Here is a 12,162-nt window from a genome sequence, read left to right on the forward strand (position 1 = left end):
TTGGCTCTACCTGTAGTTCTAAGCAATCAGAGATTTGTTTCTAAATAGCTCTGGGGGATTTCACCATATGACTGCTGTTAATGGAAATTGTTGAGCTAATCTCTCCGTGTGACATTACAAATATTAGCTTCCCATCCAAGTTTGTTTGGAACTTTTCTGTATTTCTTTTACTGTTAGAATAAAAGTTGTAAATCTGGAAAGGATTTTCAAGATCAATCAATTCAGCCTTCTAATATTACAGATGAATAAATAGGTTTCTAGGCATTGTTACTGACCGTTAAATAGCTACATTTGAATAATTTAATCCATTGACTTTACAAACTGATGTGGAATTTAGGGAACATGTTTATAGGAATAATCTACATAAAAGATATGAAGTAGTGAGCAAAATTGGACCATGACCCAGGTTACTGAATTCAGTGCTTCAAAAATTTTCTTTTACCCTATAAGCATTATTATTAATGGTTGTGTCAATATTTAGAAGTTGCCCATTTAAAAGATTATATTATGGAGTACATGGTAAGGCTCATCAGAGAAGCCAGCTAAAGGTTCGTTATTATTCATAGGGCTAACATGGTAGAATCATCTCTCTAGAGTGTTTTTTGGTCATGGCTACCAAAATGTAAAGTCTTAACATTTCAGTAACGTCATAAAAATTAGATTTTACAAGTTTTAGCTGAGTGGGTTCCTACTGCAGAGGTTATAATAAACTCCTGTTGGATTTTTAGTGAAGTTAAAACAATTCTGAATAGCTTTTGAATAGAAGATGGCCAAGCCACAAGATATGCAAACAGCCTTGCTTGTATCTGGCATGCCAGTGATTCTCCCGCTCTCGTAACGTTTCAGTACTTCTTAGCCATTTTCAGAAATTAAAATTATTTATAGGTTCAGTCAGTTTAATTAGAAAAAATGAGATTCCTGTGTTTCTTTTAGGATTTTTTTTTTCATTTTCATTTTTGGTATGGAAGAAATTGGCTTTTTTAAAAAACCTTTTAGTAAGTTTTTTATAAATAATATTTTAACACATTACTAGGATTACACAGGCACATGGTGTACTTTGCAAGCTGTTGTTGCCCTTTCAAATGTCTCCTCGGTGGAGAAGCAGCATTTGGCATTCATTCATGTATGATTCAGGATCTTTTGAGTTTATATTTGTGGTGGCCATAGTGACTTAGGTTTTAGCAAAGGCCAAACTATTTCAATTGATATCTTTTTTATCTTTGTCTGTTTAGCTTCTATTCCAATTAAGGTAGACTGTTTTGAAAACCAACAGTTTATACAGTTTGTTTCTTCTCAGGAAGGGGCAAATATGTGACTAAGTAAAAGAAATTCATCAGTATTGGTATTTACATGATCAAAGCTGAAATTTTCTCAGAAAAGAAGTTCTTTCTTAATGTATATATTTCTATCTGGAAAATTGCTTTTTCATCAAAAATTTCTTTAAGAAATGAATGACCATGTATTTAGATTCACAAATATTATAATTGTACATGTGGGAGTTTCTTGTTTTTTTGTTACTTTAGAGGATTTTAATTTCTCTCATTGCCTACAGAACAGATGACTTTCATTTCACCATGTATTGGGTTTTATTATGGTGGAATGATGATTTAATGATTGCAGCATAACTATTCATGTTATTTTTACTTTGTACCTCCTCAGGAATGTCTCATTAAATGACATCAAAGCCTGATTCTGCAATTAAAAAAGCGTTTATATTAACTGGATTTTGAAAAGAGAAAAGAACAATAAAACCACCCCCCAATTCTTCAAACAACAAAAGAGGAAACACAGCAACCCCCTTCCCCAAATTTTGGCATTTGTTCACCTCTTTTAACCCTTGCTTTTTTGTAAAATAACTTATGGAGAAATTGTTGTGAGCAAAAGGTCTTAATTGCAAAAAAAAAAAAAAATCCTTTTAGGAGTGTTTAAAATAAAATGACAGAGTATATTTATGGAGCCTGGACAATGCATCCTTTTCTCATATTTTCCAGTTTTGTAATGCCTAAGTACTCGTCTAGAATCTGAATTTAGTAATGCCAATATTGGACTCTTTCACATACATTCTATAGAGTTATTAGTAAACTCATGACAACCAACTAACCAACCAGGCAAACAAAAACATATTTAGAAACCCAAGCTGTAAGGCACAGCTCATGCACACACACACAAAATTTCATCCCAAAATATGTATGAACTTTGAGGGAACAATCAGCACTCTAAAGCAGCCGAACCCCCTGCACAGTTAGGAATGAGCGGGCTTCTGGCAGTGTCTTTTAAAAAGGCACAGAGATTTGCGTATAGACATATTTCTAGTGCATCAATGACAGGTGGCTCTTCCCCATCTAAGCAGGATGGATGGAGGGAGTTAGGTACAATGGCTTATAATTTTCAAATACTGTAATTTTTTTTGTAAAGATGGAAACCATTATTTTTTAAAAGCATGTGGTTTCAATAGTGCATATTTGATTTATGACTAAGAATTCTTTTTCTCCATGCCATATTAGTACCCTCACTTAATTAAATAGTTTTCTTTTTTGAAACTTAGATTGGACAGAAATCTGTTTTACCAAGGTAGTGAATATGGCTTTGTCAAAATCTCTGTGTGTTTGTGTGTGTGTATGTTGAAATAAGTGCAGAATTGAGATAATGATGTGGACAACTTGGGTTTACAAAACATAAAAAACATGGAAAGGTAAGACACTTTCTTTCTTGAATTTGAGGCAAAAATCTCTGTCCTTCCTCTCCACTTGGCAGGCTGAGAAAAAATGTTGGTCTGAACAACTCAGAGAATCCTTAGTTTCATCTGCACCTCAGTCTTGTCAAAATGACATGGGCGTGTGAGCTTAGTTGGATTTAACTGGATGTGAACCCGAGTACATATTACAAATGCAAATCAAGTCTTCATTTTTTTAACCATAAAAGGTATGAACATAAATTCCAAAGCTGATTTTACATGAAATGACGTGGGATAACAATATTACTTCCTTTTGTGGACCTGTTTCTCCTCCCACAGTACGTAAGACTTCTTTACCTCTCTTGAAGCTTGTCAGTGCAAGCCCATCAACATTTACCTGTATAAACTTATAATTAAAAAATATACCCTAATTCTTTAGCAGCTAATTCTATTGAGTATTATTCACCCTTTACAAGAAATCCCTTAAAGATCTAAAGAGTGACAGCCTCATTAAATTTTCATTGCCCACCTTGATGCTTTTCCATTTTTGGAAGTATCCTCTCACTTTCTCCTTTACATACAGGAGCACAAAAAGAAATTCAAAGGAAGGTACCTTGGAAGAAGAACTTCATTAAACAATTATCAAATTAGAAAATTACATGCTTAAATATCACACACATACATAATAAGATGAGATATGCATGTGTTTGCATGTTTGTGTGAGGCTATACATATTCTGATATATGTATAAATATGCATAATTTTCTCGTACAACATAATTACAGAAAATTATGTATCTAACCAATTAGTCATCAGAACAATTTTCTTCATATTTTCTTTCTCCTTAGCTAAAATGGCCTTGATAATCCTACCTTCACCTTCTGCAGTTACTCTCTCATCCACTGCCCTCCTCTGACTCTCCCCTACCATGCTTCACATTTTATGCCTTCCTTGCAGTGCCAGCTCCTTCCTCCTGCTCTGATTCTGTTCACTCTTCCACCCTCTTCCCGAGTCTCAGATACTGGGCAATACTCCAACTGTTTGTGGGTGGACAAAACAATTACATAGAAACTCTAACAGAAACACAGAAGATTCCGTCTGAGGTTGTGAATGGTCCTAGACCACGACTGGTTCTTTCCACCTGTTTATCATTCAGTTGCAAAGAGGAGAATATGGCATCACTCTAAGCAGGATTTGGTTGCCAAAGTGTCCTTCCATGCCAGTCCACTGGCTTACCAAAGGTCCAGTGTAGCCAAAACACTTCCCTTTAGAGCACCACCACAGTCCACAAAAAGGGAGAGACTTCCAGACCTTGGAGAGACAGCATTAAGGCTAAGCTCAGCCTTGCAAGTGTGTTCTGGAATGCAAAGCAATACTCGGGGAACTCCAGCTCTGTCCCTACAAGCCTGAGCTCTAAGGAAGGCCATGGGAAATCCCCACCCTCAAGCTTAATGCACTACACTGAAGCTGGCAGGGCCTGCCTCTTCCCCTGCTGCCCCTCTCTCTCTACCCTGGCTCTCTCTCTACCCTGGCAAGACCTGCCATATCTCATATTCTGTCATCAGCTCTCTGAATAGCTACCTTTAGCCTGTCAGAGTAGATGCTGAAGTATTCAAACAGTTCCACCTTGGCTCATGGCATAAAAAGTCAAGGTGGGGTTTGCTCAGAGATTTTCTTTTCCCTCCCCCTCTCCACTTCCCCTGTAAACCCACCGGGGCAAGGTTGAGGCTCCTATGACAGCATTTCTCAACCTTTTTTCTCACCATTGCTCTCAGCCTTTTTAGACGTTTTTCCTAACACAGTAGTACCAAGTTATTTCCCCGTAACAATTTAATAACACAGATGTACTATGTATCTGCTTATGTACGATATGTATATCTCTGTTTTATACATAACACAAGTTAGACGTTTTGACCCCTCCAAGAACCAATATTCACCTCTTGGAAGTGATATGATCCCCATTAAATGCATGGTCTATGGATTTTTTGGTATGGCTAAGGTAAGGCTGACAATGAATTTGGTATAACCAAGGTCCCTAGCCTTTAGGCCGCCTACCTGAGATGTTCTGTGCACACCATCCCACTGCACTCTTACAACTCTAGTGTATTTCACTTTGTATCCTCAACATTGGGAAGCATCAGAGATATCCATAGGGCTGCCTGGGTCCAGAGGTAGGGCTGTAGTGGAGATGAGAGTGGTGCAAAAATAACAGGTGTACAATATTATTGTGGAGTTAACCACCGTACTATCCCGAAAGCATTCTCCTGACCTCAGGCCGATTGTTGCCTGGTTCTTTATCTAAATATTTAGTGATACAGAGACATTGCACATCATATGCAGTTTATGAAACATTCCCGATATAACAAGGATTGATGATGCGGTGGGCTTATCTGGATTCCCAGCACAGGAAAGTTGTGGGAGAGTGGGGAGGAATGAAATGTTGTGGGCAGACCCAGTGAAGAGTGGAGAGACGATAGTCTCAGCATGGTGGTAATAGGCATCACTGGCTTTTCTAGAAACCACAGACCATGTGATATGGTTTGGTTCTGTCCCCACCCACATCTCATCTTGAATTGCAGTTCCCATAATCCCCATATGTCATGGGAGGAAACCAATGGGAGGTAATTTAATCATGAGAGCAGTTACCCCCATGCTGTTCTCCTGATTGTGTGTTCTCACAAGATCTGATGGTTTTTTAAGGGGCTTTTCCCCCTTTTGCTTTGCACTTCCCTTTCCTGCTGCCATGTGAAAAAGGACATTTTTGTTTTGCCTTCCACTATGATTATAAGTTTCCTAAGGCCTCCCCAGCTCTGTGGAACTGTGAGTCAATTAAGCCTCTTTCTTTATAAATTACCCAGTCTCAGGTATTTCTACATAGTAGTGTGAGAACAAACTAATACAGCAAATTATTACCAGTAGAGTGGGGTGCTGCTATAAGGATACCCAAAAATGAAGCAACTGTGGAACCAGGTAACAGGCAGAGGTTGGAACAGGTTAGAGGACTCAGAAGAAGACAGGAAATGTGGGAAAGTTTGGAACTTCCAAGAGACTTGGAAAGCTCATAAGACAGGAAGATGTGGGAAAGTTCGGAACTTCCTAGAGACTTGTTAAATGGCTTTGACCAAAATGTGACAGTGATATGGACAATGAAGTCTAGGTTGAGGTGGTCTCAGATGGAGATGAGGAACTTGTTGGAAATTGGAACAAAGGTGACTCTTGCTGTGCTTTAGCAAACAGACTGGTGGTTTTTTGACCTTGCCCTAAGATCTGTGGAACTTTGAACTTGAGAGAGATGATTTGGGGTACCTGGTGGAAGAAATTTCTAGGCAGCAAAGTGTTCAAGAGGAAGCAGAGCATAAAAGTTTAGAAAATTTGCAGCCTGATGCTGCAATAGAAAAGAAAAAGCTATTTTCTGGGGAGAAATTCAAACCTGCTGCAGAAATTTGCATAAGTAACGAGGAGCCGAATGTTAATCACCAAGACAATGGGGAAAATGTCTCCAGGGTATGTCAGAAAACTTCACAGCAGTCCTTCCCATCACAGGCCCGAAAGGCTAGGAGGGAAAAATGGTTTCCTGGGCCAGATCCAGGGACCCACTACTGTGTGCAGCCTCAGCACTGCATCCCAGCCACTGCAGCCATGGCTAAAAGGGGCCAAGGTACAGCTCAGGACATTGCATCAGAGAGTGGAAGCCCCCAGCATTGGCAGCTTCCATGTGGTGTTGGTCCTGTGGGTGTGCAGAAGACAAGATTTGAGGTTTGAGAACCTCTGCCTAGATTTCAGAGGATGTATAGAAATGCCTGGATGTCCAGGCAGAAGTTTGCTGCAGGGGCAGAGCTCTCATGGAGAACCTCTGCTAGGGCAGTGTGAAAGGGAAATGTGAGAGTGGAGCCCCCACACAGAGTCCCCACTGGGGCACTGCCTGGTGGAGCTGTGAGAAGAGGGCCACCATCCTCCAGGCCCCAGAATGGTAGACCATCTCTTGCATCAGCTTGACCTGGATGTGAGACATGGAATCAAAGGAGATCATTTTGGAACTTTAAGGTTTAATGACTGCCCTATTGGATTTCAGACTTGCATGGGGACTGTAGCCCCTTTGTTTTGGCCAATTTATCCCATGTGGAACAGGTGTATTTACCCAATGCCTGTTCCCCCATTGTATCTAGAAGGTAATTAACTTGTTTTTGATTTTACAGGATCATAGGTCAAAGGGACTTGCCTTGTCTCAGATGAGACTTTGATCTTGAACTTTTGAGTCAATGCTGGAATGAGTTAAGACTTTGGGGGACTGTTGGAAAAGCATGATTGTGTTTTGAAATGTGAGGACATGAGATTTGGGAGGGACCCGGGGCAGAATGATATGGTTTGGCTGTGTCCCCAACCAAATTTCATCTCGAATTGTAGTACCCATAATCCCTACATGTCACATGAGGGAACTGGTGGGAGGTAGTATAACCATGGGGGTTGTTACTCTAATGCTGTTCTCATGATAGTGAGTTCTCATGAGATCTGGTGGTTTTATAAGGGGCTTTTCCCCCTTTTGCTTGGCACTCCTCCTTGCTGCCACCAGGTGAAGAAGGATGTGTTTGTGTCCCCTTCCGTAATCCTCTTTCCTTTATAAATTACCCAGTATTGGGTATTTCTTCATGGCAGTGTGAGAACTAACATACCATGCTTCCCTTTAAATATGTCTCCTCCTTGCACTTGGTCTATACAATGCTTCAAGGGATGGATATGGTCAGAACTGCACTTTACGAAGCTCAACTACTACTTTTTAAATATATATATTTAATGACTTTTAATTGTCTACAAGGTGAAGTGAATTTTTATTAAACTAGCATTTTAGGACGACCATAGAATGATCCTACTTACTTATCTGCTACTGGTCTGTGCCCTGCAGTCTATAGCCTCATTGTAACACGAATTCTAAACTAATTATGACTGAAATACAACTTACATGCCTTTGCTGATGGTACGTTTTCTACATGCAATAATCTTCCCTTCAATTGCCACCTATTCAAATCTTGCCCTTTTTACACATTCACGGTCAGCCTCTAGAAAGCAATTTCTGAATCCAAAGAGATATTAATTCTTCCTCCTTTGAACTCTCATTTCATTTCCTTGTACAAGCACAAAAGAGGAAATCAAATTATAATAAAAGGTAAAATTAGGTGTTTAGCTTCCCCACTAGACTGTAAGTTCACTGAGAACAAGAATTGGAGTATCTGTGAATCTTATTTAGTGTCTAGGGCTCATACCGAGGACACAGTCAAAGTACTGAATTTATTGTGTTCATTCTGTTGTGATGTTGCTTCTGGACAAGAATAGGAAAGAACTTTGCTGGAAACACCAATCTCAGATCATCTCCTCTATGACTGATAATGAGGCTTGAGCAGACTCTAACACTATAGACTACAGATTAAGCAGAAGCAAGATATATGTTTCATTGCTGTTTGCAGTCTGTCGACAAAAAGATTCAAACTCTAGTAAAATATTTAGAAAGATTTATTCTGAGCCCAATATGAGTGACCATGACAAAGCCCCTCAGGAGGTCCTGAGAACATGTGCCCAAGGTGGCTGGGGTGCAGCTTTTATACATTTTAGGGAGACATGAGACTTCAATCAAATATACTTAAGAAATACATTGGTTCAGCTGGGTGTGGTGGCTCATGCCTGTAATCCCAGCAGTTTGGGAGGCCGAGGTAGGTGGATCACTTGAGGTCAGGAGTTCAAGACCAGCCTGACCAACATGGTGAAACCCTGTCTCTAGTAAACAAATTTTAAAAAGTTAGCTAGACGTGGTGGCACGTGCTTGTAGTCCCAGCTACTCAGGAGGCTGAGGCAGGAGAAGTGCTTGAACCTGGGAGGCACAGGTTGCAGTGAGCCAAGATCACACCACTGCACTCCAGCCTGGGCGACAGAACAAGACTCCTTTTTTAAAACAAATAAATAAATAAATAGGTTCCGTTCAGAAAGGTGGGACAACTTGAAGCTGGGTGTAAGTTGGGGGTGGAGTGGGGGTTTCCAGCTTACAGGTAGACTTAAAAATTTCCTGGTTGACAATTGGTTGAGTTCACCTAAAGACCTGGGATCAATAGAAAGGAATGTCTAGGTTAAGATAAGAGGTTGTGGAGACCAAAGTTGAATCATGCAGATACAGCCTCCAGGTAGCAGGCTTCAGAGAGGAGAGACTGTAAAATGCTTCTTATGAGACTTAAGGTCTGTGTTGATGTCAATGCTGGAGAGGTGTAATGAGACATGTCCAACTCCCATTTCCCTTCATGGCCTGAAACGGTCTCTCAGGTTAAATTTTAAAAGAGGCCCTGCCAAGGAGAAAGTCTATTCAGATGGTTGAGGGGGCCTTAGAATTTTATTTTTGGTTTACAAATCTTTTTGTTTTGTTTTGCTTGTTTGCTTTCTTATATTTCCTTGAGGAAAAAGGAGTTAGTAGGACTCATGAGCCATGTAACCTGGATGGTTTGTCCTTTTGTATCTTAATAACTCCTTTTAACTACAAAGCTTAAAATAGTCCCTTTAACTGGAGCTAATGGGAATCCTTCACATGGCTTACTGGGCCCAACAACCCAACTCAAAGAATCATTTTTTCTATCTTTCCATTTTGCTTCGTTTATAAAATTTTGCCAGATGATAGTTTTCTGGGTAATTTCCTTGCTGTCCAATCCTCTCAGATTATTTAAAGTTAAGCAGTGTAGCTGGATGCAAAACTCTAGCTTTTATTATGTGTATAGAAGATAAATGTTATTGTTGTCTGTTTGGGATACTTGTACATTGTTTTCAAAGGGACAGGTCATATCCAAATCAATTGAAAAAAATAAACTTTCTAGGAGACAGTGTTCAGATGAAGGTCACTTTATGCTTGGGATTGAACAGCAAAGCAGTTGAAATTTGAAGTATACTGTTTTTTTCTCCCCTTTTGGTAACCATGGGAATAGCAGAGTGACTTATATACAAAGCTTGTGGGAAGGAATAACCTTGGAAATTCTTCTACTGAAGAATGATTTAAACCTTCTTGTGACACATGAATCACTGGGTGGTGCTTTCTGTCAACATTCTTTGCTCTTCTGAACCAGAAAAGCCAGTATCTGCCTGGTTACTGGTGGTGCCACTGCTGCTGGGAAACAGAACTGTGACAGTGGAATTCTTCTGAAATCATTTTGAAATAAGTTGCATGCATTTAGCAAATCCTATATAATATTTTCATCACAGGTATCTTTTGGACATATTATTGATATTCTGCACTATAAAAAATGACATTTTGAACAACTTAATTTTTATTTTTAACTCAGAGAAAGGAAAAATATTTCAATAAATTATTTTAACACCAGAACAATATCTACGTATTGTATGTGATGGAATATTATATTTCTTTCAGTTAATTTTAATTCATTATCTTCAGTTTGCATCTCCTACAGAAGATATATATATATATATACTTATTTCTTTTTTTAATTCAAGTGATTTGAAGTGTTCTTCTTTTCTTTTGTGGAAACTATTGCTTTGTACTATACCTTTTCTTCAAAAACAAGATTAAATGTAAAAATATATTAAAGCTGTTCTAGAGATTATTAAATTAGGTCTCTGTAATAGTTTTTGCCTATTAAATAGGAAGATAAGGGTCTGAGAAAACTATGGCTAGATCATGCAGTCAAACTAATTTTTTAATTTTCTTATCTGAACATTTTATCAAAAATCATTTTGTATTTTGTTTGCTGGCTGTCATTCTTTGCATAAGAACTTGCACATCACTCTTCAGATTACATTTATTGACACAACTTCACTATAAATCATTCCCTGACAATTCCACAAGCACAGTGGCTCACACCTGTAATCCCAGAACTTTGGAAGGCCAAGGTGGGAGGAATACTTGAGGCCAGGAGTTCTGGACCAGTCTGGGCAACATAGCGAGATTCTGTCTCCACCAAAAACAAACAAAAAACAAAAATAACTTTAAAAATATTTTATACATTAATAGGTTATATTAGCTTTTCCTTCACTGGCTCTTCTATTTTTATCATTCCTTCACCAGCTTCTTTTTTGCTAAAATGCTAATACGTGTTCATCTAAGACAGCATGTTAAATGTCTAAACTCAGAGGGTACCTTTAACCCCACTTTCCCCATGCCCAGGGGCATAGCACATCATCACCTTGTGCTATGATAATCAGGCATAGGAAATCTCCTAATACACATACACACACACACACACACACACACACACACACGTAGAGAGAACATGAGCGTGTTGAATTAAGCAAACTAGGAGAGAGTAGTTTATATATATGTATTATATAATATTTTATATATGCGTACATATATAAATATATACATATATATCATACATACATACATTATATATACACATACATATATACCATATATAAATATGTTTTATATTATATATATATAGAGAGAGAGAGAGAGCTAAAGAGAGAGCTAATAACTGGCTTTAGTCTTTTGCACTTAGATGTGTCTTATTTCGTTCTCATGTCCAATCTCCTTTAGCCTGAGAAACGTTTTGGCTTGTCTCTTTTGCCCACTCTTACCCATTCAGCACATTTACATGCATGAGCTGGAGCTACTCGACTTTGGGACCCAGATCCTAGGACCTCACATGTAATCAGGATGTGAATGCAGACATTCATTGCTATTGATTCATCTAGATAATCTTCCATTGTCACTAGTCAGTCATTGCAAACACCACTGGATTTTATCAATCCACTTTGCCTGTGAATATGGAATACTGGAAAAAGTTTCTACCACCCAAACAAATTTTAAATTGGCCTTGCTTGTTTGCACCACTCACATCAAACTGTAAGAACATCTGCAGTACCTACAAGACTGTGATTTCCTAGAAGAGACAACCATTGATGCATCAGTTTGTTGCCCTGTGCTTTGATCAGTGCACAGTGTATTACATATGCCCAGTAACTGACAAATGAAGAGCTTCCTCTCCCCTATCTGGTTTGATAAAAAACCCTGTTTCTGTAATCACTTGGAAACCACTGTGAGCTTATAACAGGAAGTCTCTAACTTCTACCGATTCTATTACAGAAATCACTTCTGGGGTTATGTGAAACAGAAACCCATAAACCATCTATGGAGATGAAGTCACCACAGTGCTGTGTTGGACTTCGTCCTGTGAGTGTGGGGTAGGGAACTGTCTTCTAGGAGCAGGTGGTCATGGTATAGTGTGGGAGGGAAGAAGACAAGAGAAAGAAGACAGTTTTCTGGTACCTGATGTGGCTTTGTCAAAATTCCAAAATAGATCAAGTTCATTTGGGATATTCTTTCACATTTTATTTATTTTTTATTACTGGCAATTGTCTCTCAAATCATGCTGTGCTTACTTGCTCCCCACTCCCACTCCCTACCTCCACAATGCCTTTTTTCTGTTCTATACTTTCACCATAAAATCTCCGCAGGGGTGGGTGATGAGAAAGGCTAAAAGCAGCAGCTGATTTTAATGAGA

The 12,162-nt window shown here is 38.8% G+C and overlaps 2 annotated features.

Annotated features, from left to right (window-relative positions):
* Positions 11,743-11,822: an enhancer, noted in NCBI's record as "active region_16627". NCBI's record gives its function as "activates an Ori minimal core promoter by ATAC-STARR-seq in GM12878 lymphoblastoid cells {active_cell/tissue: GM12878}" and the evidence as "EXISTENCE:reporter gene assay evidence [ECO:0000049][PMID:35858748]".
* Positions 11,833-11,892: an enhancer, noted in NCBI's record as "active region_16628". NCBI's record gives its function as "activates an Ori minimal core promoter by ATAC-STARR-seq in GM12878 lymphoblastoid cells {active_cell/tissue: GM12878}" and the evidence as "EXISTENCE:reporter gene assay evidence [ECO:0000049][PMID:35858748]".

Source organism: Homo sapiens, chromosome 2, assembly GCF_000001405.40.
Source record: "Homo sapiens chromosome 2, GRCh38.p14 Primary Assembly".
NCBI lineage: Eukaryota > Metazoa > Chordata > Mammalia > Primates > Hominidae > Homo > Homo sapiens.